The 21,666-nt window shown below is 41.2% G+C and overlaps 2 long non-coding RNA genes across 4 annotated transcripts, besides 1 other annotated feature; one reads left to right on the forward strand and one right to left on the reverse strand.

Moving 5' to 3' along the window:
• SPATA41 (spermatogenesis associated 41) lies at positions 1,325–7,586 on the reverse strand. Of its 2 annotated transcripts, NR_028140.1 has the most exons (3): positions 6,790–7,101; positions 6,176–6,256; positions 1,325–2,495 (listed from the first exon to the last, which is right to left on the reverse strand). It is a non-coding gene; the product is annotated as a spermatogenesis associated 41 (long non-coding RNA). The 2 variants fall into 2 exon arrangements; NR_028139.1 differs by having other exon boundaries at positions 5,602–7,586.
• On the forward strand, positions 6,474–9,012 carry LOC105371021 (uncharacterized). 2 transcript variants are annotated; one of them, XR_007064777.1, is made up of 3 exons: positions 6,474–6,550; positions 7,243–7,813; positions 8,547–9,012. It is a non-coding gene; the product is annotated as an uncharacterized LOC105371021 (long non-coding RNA). The 2 variants fall into 2 exon arrangements; XR_007064778.1 differs by having other exon boundaries at positions 6,478–6,544.
• Positions 6,754–7,013: an enhancer, noted in NCBI's record as "active region_10167". NCBI's record gives its function as "activates an Ori minimal core promoter by ATAC-STARR-seq in GM12878 lymphoblastoid cells {active_cell/tissue: GM12878}" and the evidence as "EXISTENCE:reporter gene assay evidence [ECO:0000049][PMID:35858748]".
• Positions 9,013–21,666: the final 12,654 nt, after the last annotated feature.

Here is a 21,666-nt window from a genome sequence, read left to right on the forward strand (position 1 = left end):
ACTCCATCTCAAAAAAACAAAACAAAACCAAACAAAACAAAAAAAACAATTAAGTGTAACCATAACCAATCTCAGGTTTCCCGTCCCTTCCCTGTCCTGCTCTTTTCCATTTTATCATAGCAGAAAGGTTATAGTTCCCCGCTGGATGCTGCTTGAAGCCTCGGAATCTAAATTCATCACAGGATTACATATCATCTGAAGGAATCTATAACACTGGCCACCTTCCCCGAAATATAATGAACCCCAAGGCTGAACAGTGACCCTCCACAGAGGCTTGCCACAAAAGGGGCTGCCCTCACTGCTTGGCACCTACAGTTCTGGGGGCATCTGCACAGGTCCTGCTCTTGGCCAGGCCTGGGGCTGTGTTTCTCCCCCTTGCCTCTGTCCAGGTCAACAACCTCAGATGACTGACAGCTCAGTAGCATTTTCTGGCAGCACAAGAAACCTTGGTGATTGAGGTGATGGACACCTCATTTACCCTGATGGGATTATTACTCATTGTATGGCCATATCAAAAAATTTCATGTATATACATTTTGTAAACATATACACCTACTACGTACTCACAAAATATTAATTTTTTTAAAGATATCACAGTAAGTTTCTTAGTGAATCTTTTTGTCAAAAAGAGCCATTTCTAAGGCCTGCCACTGAAAACCATGGAGTATGGGCCACACCACCTCACAAGCGCAAGTCAGCCTGAAGTAGCCATCACCAACCTATCAAGAACCTATCCAAGATGCTCAAATGCTAAAATTAGTCCATAGGGACATGAAAACTAAAACAGAAAGATACTATTTTATCTCCCAACTAACCAAAATTAAAGAGCTTAGAAAAATCAAGAATTAGAGAGGACACTCTCCTACCTAGGGGTGGAGAGTATAAATTGGCACAGCCACTCTGAGGAACAATTGGGCAAACTGTAAAATTAAAGTTTTACTTTTTAGTTTTAATAAAACTAAAAATGCACACATTCTACAACTCTGTAATTCCACGCTGGTTAATTACTCCAGAGAAACTCTGGCACATGTACAAGAATGTTTGTTCACCAGGGCACCTTATTAAGAGCAAAAAATTGCAAAAACCTGAATGTTCATCGTTACATAAACGGCTACTTGAACACCATTAATTAAAGGAAATACAAAAATCTCATATATGTAACAACATGGACAGATCTCCAAGATCAGTTATCGAATTTTTTAAAAAATCAAGTTGCAGAATGAGGCACACCGAAAAAAAAATGTGTATAAACACACAGACACACATGACATGATCTGCATGGATTCAGATAAGTGTACATAAAATCCAAGAGGAAAGTCTGGAATAATACAAGCCAAACTTTGTTAAGGTTTATTGTTCTTTTTGTATTAATTGCATGCTGAGGAAAGGTACTACAAAAGGAAAATGAACACCTGGGACCCCAATTCACTCTGCCAAAGGAAAAAAATCAAGCTGAAAGCTGAGTCAAGCAATCAGCTGCCTTTTCTTCTGTTCCTAAGCAGACAGCGACAGATAAAAGGTTCAACATCTCCACAGGTAGCTGGTAGAGTAAGAGGGAGAAAGAAGAAATGGTAAAGTGACATGAAGGCAAGACGGTGTTCCGTGACTCCGTGCTGCTCCTGTCCCTGTATTGGATTCCAGCACCAGGGGCCTGTGTCTACTGCTGCACTGTTGAAGACACTGTCACGGTTATCATGGTTGATTCTGGATCTACCAAAGTAGTGCTGCCTTGACCGGGGCCCAGTTCTCATTGCCACACCAGCAACTTCCAGCACCTGTTAACATGGAATCCTTACCTCTGCCTCCTGCCATCTAATCTCCTGCCAGGGCCTCTTTTTGGCAGAAGCTAGCAAGAAGCCTAAGAAAATGTAAGGGAGTCAGAGAATGAAGGTTGCAGACTTTCAGCTTCAGTAAAGAGCAGAACATGGAAGTGGGTATGTGGGGCTGGGAGACAGAGCCGCTGAAGGTCTTAATCTGACCACCATGAGTCTGAATTCCCTTTGCCCTTCATCCTTGTATTCACCAGTCATATTAAAAGTTTAAGCTTCCATGCCTTCCACTTTCTCTTTCACAGCATTTCCTCCACAATACTGTGAACTGCCTTCCCCTACCCAAATCCAAGATCCTCCTCAGTCTTGAAACCTTCCCACTGTGCCCTTAAGAGCTGCTGCTCCATATCCTAGATCTGCTGCCTCTTCTCTGAGCGTTCTGTACTTACGAATGGAACTCCTTTGAAAATGTAAGGTGGCAACAAAATTCACATTTCTCAGCATCTTTTTTCCCCTAAGGATGGTCACTTGTCACAGTTCTGGCCACTGTGATAGAAGGAGAAGCTACTGGCTAGAGTTCTAGCAGAGTTCATTTGAGGAGCTTCCTTCTGCCGCTGTATACCCCTTTTCACTGTGTCTCTTCCTCTTTGCTCCTGACTAGAATTTGCATGTGATTCCTGGAATTCCAGCAGCCATCTCGTAAGCATGAGGAAGAGTGCCAGACCCCTGGGAAGCAAAAAGATCAATGAACTCTGGGTTGCTGATGACATCTTGGAGTCACCATGCCAGACCTGAGCTGTCTACTTCTGCACTTTTTGCTATATCAGAAAAAAAATATACTCTTGTCTCTTTTAAGCTGTTGCTATTTGGGTTGTCTGTTATATGCAGCCAAACTCGACCCCTAACAGACACACATATAGACAACTCCCATCCCCCACCCTGGGCTCTGGGCTCCTCAATTTCCTCCTTCAGTGACCTTCTGTGCTATGCTGCCCCAACTGTCCACTCTCAAATTCACACCCTACACCTTGTCATCACCCCTAGCTGTTCCACCTTCCAAAACTTGAACATCCACCTCTGACCACAGCTTCTTGTCCTCCCAGCATGCTCGTCCAAATGCTCCTACCTCAGAAGGTCTCTCAGTCTGCATCTCCCAACCCACCAGCCTCTCTTCACTTGCCTCCATATCCAGCTTGCATTCCAGGCCCCATGACTCTGAAAACACTCTTGCCAATATGCTCAGCACCCTCCCCTATCCCTTTTCACTGCAGTTGTCATGCAGAACTACAGGCCTGGGTAAACTCAACTCTCTACTCTCACTGAGCATGTGGTTGAGCTCTGAACACCACTGGAGCCAAGCATGCAACAGGGAAATCTGCAATCACCTTCTTCATTTGAGCCATCGCCATGCCCACCATTGCTACTACACTCCTCTGCCCAACTCCCCTTTCTCTCAATGCAGTGCTGATCTCGAACCCTCCCCTTCTCAGCTTCGCATTCCTCATCTTATCCCTTTCTTTTGGCAGTGGACAAGCACGCACTTCACAGAGTCATCCCCTGGTCCAGACTCTTTGCCGCGGTTTGAATGTTTATGTCCCTCCAAAATTCATGGTGAAACTTACCTCATTGTGCTGGTATTAAGAGGTGGAGCCTTTTGGGTTAAGGCCCAAAGTCATGAGGGCTCTGCCCTCATGAATGGAATTAATGCCCTCATTAAAGAGGCTCAAGAGGGCTTCTTGGCCCTTTTGCCCTGCATCTCTTCTGCCATATGAGGACACAGCATTTGTCCTCTTCAGAAGATGCAGCAACAAGGTGTCATCCTGGACACAGAGAGCTTACCAGACACTGAATCTGCCGGCACCTTGACCTTGGACTTCCCAGCCACCAGAACAATGAGAAATAAATGTCTATTATTTATAAATTACCAAGTCTAAGCTATTTTGTCATAGCAGCAGGAATGGACTAAGGCACTCCTCCTCCCAGCTCCAGACCATGTATCCAGCTGTTCAGTTGACCACTTCAAAGAGCGAGACCATGGCATGTGATCCAGTTTCAAGGATGGATGAGAATGTTTCAAATCTGCTTTTGTTTTTGTTTGACTTTGAATTAAGAAATCATCCAGTGGATGATGGAAGGATCATGGGACACTGATATCATTTGGGTACACATTGTACTTGTTTGGTTAACCCTATTTGGATAAACTGTTGTGGTCTGGATTTAGTTGCTTGCAGCCAAGGTCATCTATGATCTAATGTCTTCAGACCATTCACCAGAGTACTATTTCTCCTGCCCAAGCTCCTGATGAGGACTGGCCAGCTGAAAGCCAGGGTTAAATCCAACTCCATGCATGACCCAAGGAACAGCTACTCCCTGATGCTGAACAAGGCCAAAGCCATATACTGTGAACAAGCACAAAACAGAGCCAGGCTGGCATGTGCTTCCGCAAATTGTGAAGCCCAAACAGCTGCCTCTGCTGCAGTTGATGGTGACTTATTAGCAAAGAAAACATTTTCTTTTTGGAAAAGAGTTTTAGATTGGCTTCAATGCTTGGACAAAAAGAGGTCAGCCCTACAAGGCCCATGACACTGAGCATAGCTACAATGTATTGAAAACAGGCATCGCTGATGCCCACACAGCCCTAAAAATTGCATCTCAGTGCCCATACAATGTATAAGTTTAGGCAATTCAACTTCATGGTGAACTTTTCAAGGTTAATTGGTTGAGAAATATCAAAAAAGCATTTGTAAAAGTAATACTTTGATTTTTCAAAGAGTTGATCTTGAACCAATCTTTCAACCAGTGGTTGAATAGTGAGACCAGTACCTGCAGATGACACACCTGCTATCTAATGATGGAACCACACCATCCCCAGAAAAGAGGCCCATTATCCTGTGTTCTGGAGCAGATCCTACACATCCAAAATGGTCCTGAATAAAATGTGCGTTATACATTAGGCTGTGAGGTGGGGGATGGGGAGAGTCCAGGACACATCCCCACATCATTCTCATCACAATTATGATCTGATTTACAGAAAACAGTATCTTTGAAGTGGCATTAAAGTGAAACTTCTGGATGAGCAAAACTGGCCAGAGGTCTACATTTAACTAAGTAGCTTAATTTACAAAAATGTCTGTCCTCAGTCTAGACCAAGGAAAAAGCAATGGTAACTGCATTCATTTATGTACTCATTAGGTCCTTCAACCCTTCTTCAGTGCCTACTTTCTGTGTGCCACGTACTGAGATGCCAAATGAAGAGGCAGCAGCATATAAATTGCACTTCTTTCCCCACAGTTCTCTATAGAGCTCTGTTATGAACTAGACACTGTTCCTGGTGCTGGGGATTTAGAAACGAAAAAGTAACTTCCCTGTGTTCTATCTAGTGGGGGAAGGCAGATAGAAAGAAATAATTTTGTGGGAATGTAAAATGGTACAGTCACTGTGGAAAACAGTACGACTATTCCTCCAAAATAGATTTACCCTATGATCCAGCAATTCCGTTTCTGGATGTGTACCCCAAAGCTTTGAAAGCGGGGACTCCAACAGGTATTTGCATACTCATATTCATAGTATGCAAATTTAACTAAGTAGATGTTGTCATGGCATTTGTAAGCTGCCATGGCACTAGCGGGAGTGTCTTTTGCCATGCTAATACATTATAATTAGTGTATAATGAGCAGTGAGGACGAGCAGAGGTTGCTTTTGTCACCATCTGGTTTTGGTAGGTTTTGGCCAGCTTCTTTACCGCATCTTGTTTTATCAGCAGGGTCTTTGTGACCTGTATCTGGCAAAACCTCCCCTGAGATGCAATTCATTGGTTCCTGGGGTAACCAACCTGCCTCCCTGGCAGCCACTGACTCATCCTGTGACGAAGAATGCCTAACCTCCTGGGAATGCAGCCCAGCAGGTCTCAGCCTCATTTTGCGCAGCACCTGTTCAAGATGGAGTCGCTCTGGTTCGAACACCTCTGACAGCTGCCCGACAATGTGAATGTACTTAATGCCACTGAACTTACAAATGATTGAAATGGTAATTTTACGTTATAGTACATTTTACTACAGTAAAAAATGTTTTAAAAAAGAAATCATTACTCTCTTGCTAAGATCTTGTTTCATCTTAACACACACGAGATGCCTTGTCTTCATTTCGTGGACAGGCAAGGCCGAATTCCGTTTCACAGATAGAGGACTGAGATCTGGAGGCAGAGGGCAGGAATTAAAAACAAGACAAACAAGAGCCTTATACAGGCAGTGTCTTTCTGAGTCTGATCCCTGTTGTCTTGAGAGCTGCGGTGAGGGAAAGTCGTCTTCAGAGCCCTCAGGGTCAAAGCAGTTTGTTACCCTTGAGATAGACAAAGCTCCTAACCTCTCCAGCTTTTTGCCGACAGCTCGATTCTGATGGGCACTGACCTTTTCCGACCCTGTTTTCAGGAGCCGACTCCTGGCAGGTTGGTTGTAGGGGCCCTCTTGAGTGCTTCACACACAGCAGTCCTGTTGGGGTGAAGGTCACCGTCACTGTGATAATTGTTGTCGTCGTTGAAACCACCCAGCCCGAAAGCAGCATGGGCTGTGCCCAGAGCCGCCGTGCCAGAAGCCCACGCTTAGAAATAGAGGGCCGAAGACCAAAGAGGACTGCGGGTTCTTGGGCCAAACGTGACCCTCTCAAATCCCCCAACTCGGGGATTTCGTTAGCTGGGGACTGGTGTGCCCGGGTTCCAAGACCCCTGCGTAGACTCTGTCTATAGGTGGAAGAAGGCCTTTGCCCCGAGGCATCCAGAGGTAACGGTGAGAGGAACAAGGGCACGTGGGGGATCCCACCACAGCCTCCCCTGAGACCCTCTTCACGCTGGTTGCAGGAGTAGCCAACCCCGCTCCCTGGCAGCCCGTGAGATGCCACATCCCCTCCAGCAGGGGGCGGCCGGCATCGGTCCCGTCTTCCTAAACCGGCGTTGGTGGGAAATGCCGGCACCAGCTCCCTCCCCGCTCCAGAGCCCTGTTTTCCCCATTTGTATTTCACTACTTTCCTGTTGAGCTTGGATTCCAGCCTCAAATTCCGCGATTTGGCCGGCATCCTAATCCCCGAGTGACTCTTGCCAACCACTCTCTGTGGGGCCTGTGTGCTTCCTCCTGGGTTCTGGGGCGCTGGCGGCGTCCGCTTCACCGGGAACGGGAGCCCCAGCCTCCCGAGGCCTTCCTGCCTGGCTCTGGGAATGGCCACTGTCCAGAAAGCCCCGCGGCCGTCCATGCTCGCTCGCTCAGTCAGGCCCTTGTGGGGATATTGCAGAACGAGTCCGAGTTACTATCCCTTTAAATACAGGCGTTTCGGCCTAGCTGCCGCCGGTCCAATCCGCAGCGCTTCCGTGCCCCACTTTCCCGCGTCAGCCTGGCTCCGGCCTCCACCAGGGGGTGCTAGTGAGATCCCAGCCAGCCTCAGAGCTGAGCGTCCAGGGCCTTCAAATGTCCCCATCCTTGAAAAGGCAACTCCAGTGGCATCTTCTGCGGGGAGACCAGAAGCAGCATCTGACGAGGAGACAGCACTGGCGGTCCCGACACAACTGAATCGGCAGGATGAGGGCCCTTAGTGTTAGGCACCGGCGGAGCTGCATCCCACCCCGTCTCGTCCCCTGAGAACAGCTGTGAGAAGCCGCCTATTTTTCATCGTTCTGCAACACACCTTTCCCTTCCTTGGGATATTTCTCCTCTTTCAGCATTGCCGCATCAGGGTTCCAAAGCCCCGTTTCTCTCCTAGTTCTTTCTTTGCTCAAGAAAAGCAGCTTGTCTGATAAACTAAGCTATGTATGATTCGCTGCCAGTACAGACTGAAAAACAAAATAAACTCCCAATTCACAGTCCTCCGTTGCGTAACAGTGAGCAGACGTTCTGAGAAATGCATCGTCAGGCAATTGCATCATTGTGCAAACAATATAGAGTGTACTTACCCAAACCTAAACAGCACAGCCTACTACACACCCAGGCTGTAGGCTGTGCTTCTAGACTACAAACCTGTACAGTGTGGTACTGAACACTGTAGGCAACTGTAACACAATGGTAAGTATTTGTGTATCTAAACATAGAAAAGATACAGTAAAAATATGGTATGAAAGATTGAAACTGGTGCACCTGCCTAGGGCACCTACCGTAAGCTTGGAGCTTACGGGACTGAAAGTTGCTCTGGGTGAGTCAGTAAGTGAGTGGTGAGTAAATACGAAGGCCTAGGACATTACTGTACACTACTGTAGACTTTAAAACCCTGTACACTAGGCCCACACTCAATTTATTTTTAAAAATTTTCTTTCCTTCAATAATATATTCACTTTAGCTTACTGTAACTTTTCTACCTTAAGAATTTTTAAATTTTTTGACTCTTTTAATAACAGCTTGAATACACAAACACATTGTACAGCTATACAAAAATATTTTCATTCTTCATATCCTTATTCTATAAGCTTTTTTCCTACTTTTGAAGTTGTTTATTTTTTACATTTTAAACTTTTTGTCAAATATTAAGACACAAACACACATTAGCCTAGGCCTATACAGGGTCAGGATCATCAATACCACTGTCTTCTGCTTTCACATCTTGTCCCACTGGAAGGTCTTCAATGGTAATAACACACATTCTTAGTAAATGCAAATAGTCATGGCTCAGACTGATATAGTAATGATAGACTATTCAATATGTGGTATTGGACAGCTGTTTATATATTTGTACGAACCTAAGTTAGATTCTGTGGTGGTTCAAAAATATATCCTCTAATTATGACCTGCTTCCCTTCAACAGGTGTACCTAATTCCTCTGCCTAGAAAGTGTGCTGGAATTACTGCCTGGCTTCTGATGAATAGGGCGTATTGAGAGTGATGCTTTGTGAGTTCTGAGGCTAGGTCATAGAAAGGATTGAACTTATTCCTGAATGTTGCTCTTGGATCACTTGCTTTTTTGGGAACCACCAGCCATGTCATGAGGACACTCAAGCAACCCTGCAGAGAAGCACATGTGTGGAGAGGCACTTCTTGGAAAGGAGGCCAACTTGCCAGAACCAACTAATTTGTCATGTGAGTGAGTCATTTTGGAAGCAGATCCTCTACCCTCAGTCAGGCCTTCCGATGATTTCAGCCCCCAGCCTTTGAGTCTGCCCCAAACACCATGAGTAGAGACAAGCCCTTCCCACTGTGTCCACCCTGGCTGAATTCCAGACCGTTAAAAAAACAAGAGAAAATAAATTATTATTAGTGTTTTGAGTCACTAAGTTTTGGACTAATTTGTTATGCAGCAATAGCTAACAACTACAGAGTCATAACACAAACTAAAATTAATTCTAAGGCATGTTAAAGATTTATATGAAAGCATTCATCTAATGGAGGTGTGCAAGAAGTGGCTATAAAAAATTTAGGGCACCCAAAAGCAACCTGTAGGCTGAGCAGGGTAAGTACATCTGCAAGAGCAGCCAGATGGCTAGTTGGTCCCTGTGTGCAGCCTCTCTACCCACCCATGGTATAGGTCCAGGAATGGAACTGTTTAGCTTCCCTAGGAAACAATGAATGTGGTGCTTGCATTGTGTTGCTGACACCATCAGAGAGGAAATGGAAGTCCCAGTGTCCAGAAGCTAAACAGAAACACACACACACAAAAGACAGAAGGAAAGAAAAAAAGGGCCAAAATATCCCACAACAAAGGGAAATATAGTCATGATACATGCTTAACTTCAGAAAAGACTTATATAATAATTATATCAAAATCATAATGTAAACACTGTGCAATGATTTTCAACTTTTAGAATCAACCAAAAAGAAATAGCAGAATATATCATCCCGGCTGCAGAATCAATTGTAAAAGTTGTCATCCATAACAATGTCAAAGTAAAAGAGTAGATAACAAAGGAGAAGAGATGGAAGTTAAAAAGAAACAAAGAAACGTATAGGGGGCAAGTTCCCTCATCTTCCAAAGTGAAGAGAAAGATATTGCCTATAGTTGATAAAATAAGAAGTAAAGATATACATGTATACTTTGAATTCACAAAGGTAATTAATAAAAGAAATAAAAGTCTCATATTGGGATGGGAATGTGATAAAAAGTGAGGTAAATCCTTATCCATCATTGTAATACATCACTTGCCATATCTAGTCTTGACATATAAAAAAATTAAGAACAATTTTAATGGTATGAAGAAAATGATCAGAAAAATTAAAACCAGAAATAGTTAAAAGGATTGCTTTCAGCAGTGAGTCTAGGGTAGAAAGATTTGGGCAAGGTGTCATTATTTCACACTTTAGGAACTTCTATATCATTTTCTTTAACTATTGAATGTATTACTTTAAAAAATTAATAAATATTTTTTAAATTCCAGATTCCAGAATGGTTCTTCCTTTAATATACGTATTATCTTTGTTTTTACAACTAGGATGGCATTTGTATAACATAACATACACAAGTAAGTATTTAATTCTTAAAATAATTCTGCCAGGAAAAAATTATTATCCTTCACTAATAAGTGGGAAAAGTGAGCTGAGAAATGCTAATGACTTGCCCAAGATGACTCAATAAGTTATATCTTTGAGAGTTATAAAATCTTAAAATATTGACTATGTCTCACAGATGTCTCATGAAGAATCTCACTTTATAGATAAAAATGTAATGTCAACAAAGATACAAAATTTCCCACTGGGTCACAAGGATTTAATGCGTGAGCATGGTTCCTGTTTCTTTCTCTGTGGGACATGGTGACCACCTATGTATGCATCAGAAAGCTAGAAGCAGGAGGAAGTAGGCAAGAACCAGTGGCCTCACCACAACCCTTTGACATAGGCGTTATTATTAACCACATTCTATACTCAGGGCAATAGCGCCAGAAGTAAGCACTGTGTTCATCAAGGTTGCACAGATGGTCATTTGTGGAAGAGGAATTTGACTCAAACCCTGGGACACCAGAGCCATGCCCTCTATCATTAAGGGGGGACATGGGAAGAAAAAGGGAAATCCAACTCACCTGTGAATGGATCACGTGGTGGTTGTAGTGATTCTCTGACTGCAGAGTCTAGGGCAATGTTTTTCTCTTCTCAGATTCTCAGTTTTCTCATCTGTGAAATGAGGAGTTGTGCTAGATTACCTCCCAGTTATGCTTGAACTTGTAATGCAGCAATTCAAACAATTCTTGGAAACAGAGACAAGGGCCTAGGAGAGTGCTGGCACATTATACACACTTGGTTATGTTTACTGAATAAATGACTAAGTAAAGAAAACAATTTGATAAGATTAGAAATTTCTGAAGACTCCATGAACTGTCACGTGGCCAGAGAAAAGAAAGCATCAAACCCATCTCTCTCTGGATTCACTGACTGTCATTCTTCTCTGAAGTAACTTCGATTCACCAGGTTTATGCAGGTTTGATTAAAAACAATAATAACAGCAACAGAAGTCCAGATGTAAAGGTGTGCCCTGCTATCGAGAGAGGGAAGGGGTGTGGAAGGCTCTGTTCTTTAAATAACCCTGGGGTCCTGGGGTCTCTTTGCAACAGCCCCTGTCTGGGCACCACATCTCAGGAGTGTGTATTTTCGCACCCAACCCCTAAGCCACTTGACACATAGCAAGTACTTGGTAAGAAATACTTTCCACATCACCAGCAGTTTATGGGTTTCTCCCCTTTCTTACATATGTCGCCTAGAACTTTCTTCCAAAATCAATTAAGCTTTGAAATATAAAGCTGGGCAGAGAAACTATGATCAGATCTCAATAACTAGATTGTATTTGTCCAAAATCCTTGGTTGCTAGTATCGGAAATACACAGAGCTCGAGTGATCACAAAGAAAGTGTTTGTCTGATATTCTAAAATCAATCATTGGAATTCTCAATATTAACAGACTATAAAGGAAAAATCATATGGTCATGTCAGAAGACATGAAAAAGCCTTTGATAACATCCAACATCCGTTCCTGATTAAAAAAAAAAAAAGCTCTCAGCCAACTAACAGCAGAAGAGACCTTCCTCAACCTGATAAAGGACATCTATGAAAAAACCTACAGATAACATCATACTTAATGGTGAAAGACTGAAACGCTTTTCCCCTAAAGTCAGGAACAAGACAAGGGTGTTGGCTCTCACCATCTCTTTTCAACGCTGTACAGGAAATTCTAGCTGATGTAGTCAGGCAAGAAAAATAAGTGAAAGGAATCCAGATTGGAAAGGAAGAAGTAAAATTGCCTTTATTCACAGACATCGGGATCATCTTCACAGAAAATCCACACAAAAATTTACTAAGACTAATAGTAAGTTCAGCAAGACTGTAGGATATAAGATCAATATACAAATTTCAATTGTATTTCTATATACTAGCAATGAATAAACATTAGAATTTAAAAACAATATTATTAACAATGACATAAAATAGCATAAAAACAGTAGCATAAAATACTTAGGGATAAGTCTGACAAAGGATGTGAAAGACCTGTATATTGAAAACTATAAAATATTGCAGAGAAACATTAAAGAAAGAAAGAAAATTAGGAATACTTAACCATGTAACCCTGGGGCAAGTTTTCCTCCTCCCTATTCAACCTGTAGCTGATGCACTCCTGAAAACACCACCTCCTGGCTGGAGGCCAACCACACAAAACCAGCGCATTAAACAAAAACACAACCAAGGATCTTCAGAGTCCACTGCACTCCCCTGCTCCCTCCACCGGAGCAGGTGCTGGTATCCACAGCTGAAAGACCTGAAGACAGATCACATCATAGGACTCTTTGCAGACACTCCCTAGTACCAGCCCAGAGACTGGTAGCTCCACTGAGTGGCTAGACTCAGAAGGGCAAAAGCAATCACTGCAGTTCAGCTCTCAGGAAGCCCTATTCCTAGGGGAAGAGGGAGAAAACCACATAAAGGGAGCACCTAGTGGGACAAAAGAATCTGAACAGCAGCCCTGGAGTCCCAGATCTTCCCTCTGACATAGTCTACCCAAATGAGAAGAAACCAGAAAAACAATTCTGGTAATATGACAAAACAAGGTTCTTTCGCAGCCCCAAAGATCACACTAGCTCACCAGCAATGGATCCACACCAAGATGAAACTTCTAAATTCCCAGAAAAAGAATTCAGAAGAATTATTAAGCTAATCAAGGACGCACCAGAGAAAGGTAAAGTCCAATGTAAAGAAACCAAAACATGATACTGGATATGAAAGGAAAAATCTTCAGTGAAAGAAATAGCATAAACAAAAAACAATCACAACTTCTGGAAATCAAGGACACACTTAGAGAAATGCAAAATGCACTGGAAAGTCTCAGCAATAGAACCGAACAAGCAGAAGAAAGAACTTCAGAGCTTGAAGACAAGACTTTCTAATTAACCCAATCCATCAAAGACAAAGATAAAAGAATTTTAACAAATGAACAAAGCCAGCCGGGCATGGTGGCTCATGCCTGTAATCCTAACACTTTGGGAGGCGGAGGTGGGCAGATCACCTGAGGTCAGGAGTTCGAGACCAGCCTGGCCAACATGGTGAAACTCCATCTCTACTAAAAATACAAAAATTTGCTGGGCGAGGTGGCGCGTGCCTGTATCCCAGCTACTCGGGAGGCTGAGACAGAAGAACCACTTGAACCCAGGAGGCAGAGGCTGCAGTGAGCCGAGATCGTGCCATTGCACTCCAACCTGGACTAAAGATCAAGACTCCATCTCGAAAAAAAAAAAAAATGAACAAAGCCTCCACAAAGTTTAGGACTATGTTAAACATCCAAACCTGAGAATAATTGGTGTTCCCCAGGAAGAAGAGAAATCTAAAAGTTTGGAAAACATATTTGAGGGAATACTTGAGGAAAACTTCCCTGGCCTTGCTAAAGATCTAGACATTCAAAATCAAGAAGCTCAAAGAACATCTGGGAAATTCATCGCAAAAAGATCATCGCCTAGGCACATATGCATCCGGTTATCTAAAGTCAAGATGAAGGAACAAATCTTAAGAGCTGTGAGGCGAAAGTATCAGGTAACTATAAAGGAAAACAGAGTAACAGCAAACTTCTCAGCAGAAACCCTACAAGTGAGAAGGGATTGGTGTCCTATTTTTAGCCTCCTTAAACAAAACAATTATCAATCAAGAATTTTGTATCCAGTGAAACTAAGCTTCATAAATGAAAGAAAGATGCAGTATTTTCCAGACAAACAAATGCTGAGAGAACTCACCACTACCAAGCCAGCACTTCAAGAACTGCTAAAAGGAGCTCTAAATCTTGAAACAAATCCTCAAAATACACCAAAATAGACCCTCCTTAAAGCATATGTCTCACAAGACCTATCAAACAATAACACAATGAAAAAAAAAAAACAAGGTATTCAGGCAATAAGTAGCACAATGAATAGAATAGTGTGTCACATCTCAAAACTAATGTTGAATGTAAATGGCTTAAATGCTCCACTTAAAATATACAGAATGGCAGAATGGATAAGAATTCACCAACCAAGTTTCTGCTATCCTCAGGAGACTCACCTAACACATAAGGACTCACATAAACTTAAGGTAAAAGGGTGGAAAAAGATAGTCCATGCAAAGGACACCAAAAGTGAGCAGAAGTAGCTATTCTTATATCAGACAAAACAAACTTTAAAGCAAAAGCAGTTAAGTCTTGGAACCAACCCAAATGCCCATCAATGATAGACTGGATAAAGAAAATGTGGCACACATGCACCATGGGATACTATGCAGCCATTTTAAAAAAGGATGAGTTCATGTTGTTTGCAGGGACATGGATGAAACTGGAAACCGTCATTCTCAGCAAAGTAACACAAGAAGAGGAAACCAAACACCGCATGTTCTCACCCATAAGTGGGAGCTGAACAATGAGAACACATAGACACAGGGAGGGGAACATCACACACCAGGGCCTGTCAGTGGGTGGAGGGCTGGGGGAGGAATAGCATTAGGAGAAATACCTAATGTAAATGACGAGTTGATGGGTGCAACAAACCAACATGGCACATGTATACCTATGTAACAAACCTGCACGTTGTGCACATGTACCCCAGAACTTAAAGTATAACAATAAAAAAAGGAAAAACTTTAAAAAAAAAGACAAAGAGAGACATTATGTAATGATAACAGGACTAGTCCAACAGAAAAATATAACAATCCTAAATATATATGCACCTAATATTGGAGCTCCCAAATTTATAAAGCAATTACTACTAGACCTAAGAAATGAGATAGAGAGCAACACAATAATAGTGGGAGATTTCAGTACTCCACTGACAGCACTAGACAGGTCATCAAGACAGAAAGTCAACAAAGAACAATGGACTTAAACTATACCCTACAACAAATGGACTTAACAGATATTTACAGAACATTCTACCCAACAACTGCAGAATATACATTCTATTATCAGCACATGGAACATTCTCCAAGATAGACCATATGATAGGCCACAAAATAAGTCTCAGTAAATTTAAGAAAATTGAAATTATAACAAGTACTCTCTCACACCACAGTGGAATAAAATTAGAAATCAGCTCCAAAAGGAACCATCAAAACCAGGCAAATACATGGAAATTAAATAACCTGCTCCTGAATGATTGTTGGGTCAACAATGAAATCAAGATGGAAATTTAAAAATTTTTTGAACTGAATGATAATAGTTGCACAACCTATCAAAATTTCTGGGATACAGCAAAAGCAGTGCTAAGAAGAAAGTTCACAACATTAAATGCTTATATAAAAAAGTCTGAAAGAGCACAAATAGACAATCTATGGTCACACCTCATGGAACTGGAGAAACAAGAACGATCCAAAACCAAACCCAGCAGAAGAAAAGAAATAATGACAATCAGAGCAGAACTAAATGAAATTAAAACCAAAAAAATACAAAAGATAATTGAAACAAAAAGCCGGTTCTTCAAAAAGATAAATAAAATTGATAGACCAGTAGTGAGATTAACCAAGAAAAGAAGAGAGAAGATCCAAATAAGCTTAATTAGAAACAAAATGTTAAATATTACTACTGATACTACAGAAATACAAAAGATTACTCAAGGCTACTATGAATGCCCACACACATAAACTAAAAAACCCAGAGGACATGGATAAATTCCTGGAAATATACAACCCTCCTAGATTAAACCAGGAAGATATAGAAACCCTGAACAGACCAATAACAAGCAGCGAGATTGAAATAGTAATAAAAAAATGCCAACAACAAAAAAGTCCAGGACCAGACAGATTCACAGCTGAATTCTATCAGACATTCAAAGAAGAACTGATGCCAATCCTGTTGACACTATTCCACAGGGGAGAGAGAGACAGAGAGAGACAGAGAGAGAGAGAGAGAATCCTCACTAAATCATTCTATGATACCATTATAACCCTAATATCAAAACCAGAGAAGGACATAACAAAAAAAGAAAACTATATACCAACATCCCTGATGAACACAGATGCAAAAATCCTCAATAAAATACTAGCTAACCAAATACAACAGCATATCAAAAAGATAATCCACCATGATCAAGTGGGTTTCACACCAGAGATGCAAGGGTGGCTTAACATCTGCAGGTCAATAAGTGTGATACACCACATAAACAGAATTAAAAACAAAAATCAAATGATCATCTCAATAGATGCAGAAAAAGCATTTTACAAGATCCAGCATCTCTTTATGGTTAAAACTCTCAGCAAAATTGGCATAGAAGGGACACACCTTAAGGTAATAAAAGCCATCTATGACAAACACACAGCCAACATTATACTGAGTGGGGAAAAGTTGAAAGCATTCCCCCTGAGAACAAGAACAAAACAGGGATACCCATTTTCATCACTTCTATTCAATAGAGTACTGGAAGTCCTAGCCAGAGCAATCAGATAAGAGAAAGAAATCGAGTGCATCCAAATTGGTAAAGAGGATGCCAAACTCTCACTCTTTGCTGATGATATGATCATATATATAGAAAACCCTAAAGACTCATCCAAGAAACTCGTAGAACTGGTAAATGCATTCAGCAAAGTTTCAGGATACAAATTAATGTACACAAATCAGTAGCTCTGCTATACACAAACAGCGACCAAGCTGAGAATCAAATCAAGAACTCAACCCCCTTTACAATAGCTGCAAAAAATAAAATAAAATACTTAGGAATATACCTAACCAAGTATGTGAAAGACCTCTACAAGGAAAACTACAAAACACTGCTGAAAGAAATCATAGATGACATAAACATGGAAACACATCCCATGCTCATGGATAGGTAGAATCAATATTGTGAAAATGGCCATACTGCCAAAAGCAATCTACAAATTCAATGCAATTCCCATCAAAATACCACGATCATTCTTCATAGAACTAGAAAAACAATCCTAAAATTCATATGGAACCAAAAAAGAGCCTGCATAGCCCAAGCAAGACTAAGCAAATGTGGAGGCATCACATTACCTGACTTCAAACTATAAGGCCATAGTCACCAAAACAACATGATACTGGTATAAAACTAGGCACACAGACCTATGGAACAGCATAGAGGACCCAAAAATAAAGCCAAATACTTACAGTCAACTGATCTTTGGCAAAGCAAACAAAAACATAAAATGGGGAAAGGACACCCTATTCAACAAATGGTGCTGGGAGAATTGGCTAGCCACATGTAGAAGAATGAAACTGGATCCTCGTCTCTCACCTAATAATAAAAATCAACTCAAGATGGATCAAAGGCTTAAATTAAGACCAGAAAACATAAAAATCTAGAAGATAACACTGGAAAAACGCTTCTAGACATTATCTTAGGCAAATACTACATGCCCAAGAACCCAAAAGCAAATGCAACAAAAACAAAGACAAATATATGGGACTTAATTAAATTAAAAAGCTTCTGCACAGCAAAAGAAATAATCAGCAGACTTAACAGACAACCCACACAGTGGGAGAAAATCTTCAGAACCTATACATCTGACAAAGGACTAATATCTAGAATCTACAAAGAACTCCAACAACTCAGCAAGAATAAAACAATCCCGTCAAAAAGTGGGCTAAGGACACGATAGACCAATTCTCAAAAGAAGATATACAAATGGCCAACAAGCATATGGAAAAATGCTCAACATCACTAAATATCAGGGAAATGCAAATCAAAACCAAAATGTGATACCACCTTGCTCCTGCAAGAATGGCCATAGTCAAAAAATCAAAAAATAATAGATGGCATGGATGTGGTAAAAAGGAAACACTTTTACACTGTTGGTGGGAATGTAAACTAGGATAGCCACTGTGAAAATCAGTGTGGAGATTCCTTAAAGAACTAAAAGGAGATCTATAATTTGATCCAGCAATCCCACTCCTGGGTATCTACCCAGAGGAAAAGAAGTCATTATGCTAAAAAGATACTTGCATACGCATGTTTATAGCAGAACAATTTGCAATTGCAAAAACATGGAACCTCCCAGCACTTTGGGAGGCCAAGGCGGGCAGATCACAAGGTCAGGAGATCGAGACCATCCTGGCTAACATGGTGAAACCCCATTTCTACTAAAAAATAGAAAAAAAAATTAGCCAAGTGTGGTGGCAGGTGCCTGTAGTCCCAGCTACCGGGGAGGCTGAGGAAGGAGAATGGTGTGAACCTCGGAGGTGGAGCTTGCAGTGAGCTAAGATCATGCCACTGCACTCCAGCCTGGGCAACAGAGCAAGACTCCACCTCAAAAACAAACAAACAAACAAACAAACATGGAACCAGCCCAAATGCCCATTAATCAATGAGTGTTTAAAGAAAATGTGGTATACTGATCCCACAGAAATACAAACTACCATCAGAGAATACTGAAAACACCTGTATGCAAATAAACTAGAAAATCTAAGAGAAATGGATAAACTCCTGGACACATACACCCTCCCAAGTCTAAATAAGCAAGAAGTCGAATCCCTGAATAGACCAATAATAAATTCTGAAATAGAGGCAGTAGTTAATAGTCTACCAACCAAAAAGGGCCCAGGACCAGATGGATTTACAGCTGAATTCTACCAGAGGTACAAAGAGGAGCTGGTACTATTCCTTCTGAAATTATTTTAAACAATAGAAAAGGAGGGAATCCTCCCTAACTCATTTTATGAGGCCAGCATCATCCTGATACCAAAACCTGGCAGAGACACAACAAAAAGAGAAAATTTCAGGCCAATATCCCTGATGAATATCGATGCAAAAATCCTCGGTAAAATACTGGCAAACCAAATTCAGCAGCACATCAAAAAGCTTATTCACTACGATCAAGTTGGCTTCATCCCTGGGATGCAAGGCTGGTTCAACATACACAAATCAATAAATGTAATCCATCACATAAGGAGAACCAATGACAAAAACCACACGATTATCTCAATAGATGCAGAAAAGGCCTTCGACAAAACTCAACACCCCTTCATGCTAAAAACTCACAATAACCTAGGTATTGATGGAACATATCTCAAAATAATAAGAGCTATTTATGAAAAATCCACAGCCAATATCTTACTGAATGGGCAAAAACTGGAAGCATTCCCTTTGAAAACCGGCACAAGACAAGGATGCCCTCTCTCATCATTCCTATTGAACACAGAATTGGAAGTTCTGGCCAGGGCAATCAGGCAAGAGAAATAAATAAAGCGTATTCAAATAGGAAAAGAGGAAGTCAAATTGTCTCTGTTTGCAGATGACATGATTGTATATTTAGTGAACCCTATCATCTCAGCCCAAAATCTCCTTAAGCTGATAAGCAACTTCAGCAAAGTCTCAGGATACAAAATCAATCTGCAAAAATCATAAGCATTCCTATGCACCAATTATAGACCAACAGAGAGCCAAATCATGAGTGAACTCCCACTCAAAATTGCTACAAAGAGAATAAAATACCTAGGAATACAACTTACATGGGATGTGAAGGATCTCTTCAAGGGGAACTACAAACCACTGCTCAAGGAAATAAGAGAGGACAAACAAATGGAAAATCATTCCTTGCTCATGGATAGGAAGAATCAATATTGTGAAAATGGCCATACTGCCCAAAGTAATTTATAGATTCAATGCTATCCCTAGCAAACTACCATCGACTTTCTTCACAGAATTAGAAAAAACTACTTTAAATTTCATATGGAACCAAAAAAGAGCCCATATAGCCAAGACAATCCTAAGCAAAAAGAACAAAGCTGGAGGCATCACACTACCTGACTTCAAACTATACTACAAGGCTACAGTAACCAAAGCAATGTGGTACTGGTACCAAAATAGATACATAGAACAATGGAACAGAACAGAGCCCTCAGAAATAACACCACACATCTACAACTATCTGATCTTTGACAAACCTGACAAAAACAAGCAATGGGGAAAGGATTCCCTATTTAATAAATGGTGTCGGGAAAACTGGCTAGCCATATGCAGAAAACTGAAACTGGATCCCTTCCTTACATCTTATACAAATATTAACTCAAGATGGATTAAAGACTTAAATGTAAGACCTAAAACCATAAAAACCCTAGAAGAAAACCTAGGCAATACCATTCAGGACACAGGCATGGGCAAAGACTTCATGACGAAAACACCAAAAGCAATGGCAACAAAAGCCAAAATTGACAAATGGGATCTAATTAAGCTAAAGAGCTTCTGCACCACAAAAGAAACCATCATTAGATCGAACAGGCAACCTACAGAATGGGAGAAAATTTTTGCAATCTATTCATCTGACAAAAGGCTAACATCCAGAATCTACAAAGAACTTAAACAAACTTACAAGAAAAAACCAAACAACCCCATCAAAAAGTAGGCAAATGATATGAACAGATGCTTCTCAAAAGAAGACATCTATGCAGCCAAAAAACATATGAAAAAAAGCTCATCATCACTGGTCATTAGAGAAATGCAAATCAAAACCACAATGAGATACCATCTCATGCCAGTTAGAATGGAAATCATTAAAAAGTCAAGAAACAATAGATGCTGGAGAGGATGTGGAGAAATAGGAATGCTTTTACACTGTTGGTGGGAGGCTAAATTAGTTCAACCGTTGTGGAAGACAGTGTGGCGATTCCTCAAGTATCTAGAACCAGAAATACCATTTGACCCAGCAATCCCACTACTGAGTATATACCCAAAGGATTAAAAATCATTCTACTATAAAGACACATGCACACTTATGTTTATTGTGGCACTGTTCAAAGCAAAAGTCTTGGAACCCACACAAATGTCCATCAATGGTAGACTGGATAAAGAACATGTGGTACATTTACACCATGGAATACTATGCAGCCATAAAAAGGATGAGTTCATGTCCTTTGCAGGGACATGGATGAAGCTGGAAACCATCATTCTCAGCAAACTAACACAGGAACAGAAAACCAAACACACATGTTCTCACTCATAACTGGGAGTAGAACAATGAGAACACATGGAAACAGGGAGGGGAACATCACACACCGGGGCCTGTCAGGGGATGGGGGGGCTAGGGGAGGGATAGCATCAGGAGAAATACCTAATGTAGATGATGGGTTGATGGGTACAGCAAACCACCATAGTACGTGTATACCTATGTAACAAACCTACACGTTCTGCTCATGTATCCCAGAACTTAAAGTATAATAAAAAAATTTTAAAAATATTTGGTGTATATATATGCATGCCATGGAATACTACTCAGTCATAAAAAGGAACAAAATAATGGCATTTGCAGCAACCTGGATGGAATTGGGGACCATCATTCTAAGTGAAGTAACTCAGGAATGGAAAACTGAACATTGTATATTCTCACTCATAAGTGAGAGCTAAGCTAAGAGGATGCAAAGGCATAAGAATGATACAATGGACCTTGGGGACTTTGGGGAAAGGGTGGGAGGGGGTGAGGGGTAAAAGGCTACACCTTGAGTACAGTGTACACAGTGATGGGTGCACCAAAATTTCAGAAATCACCACTAAAGAA

Source organism: Homo sapiens, chromosome 15 (genome assembly GCF_000001405.40).
Source record: "Homo sapiens chromosome 15, GRCh38.p14 Primary Assembly".
Taxonomy (NCBI): Eukaryota; Metazoa; Chordata; class Mammalia; order Primates; family Hominidae; genus Homo; species Homo sapiens.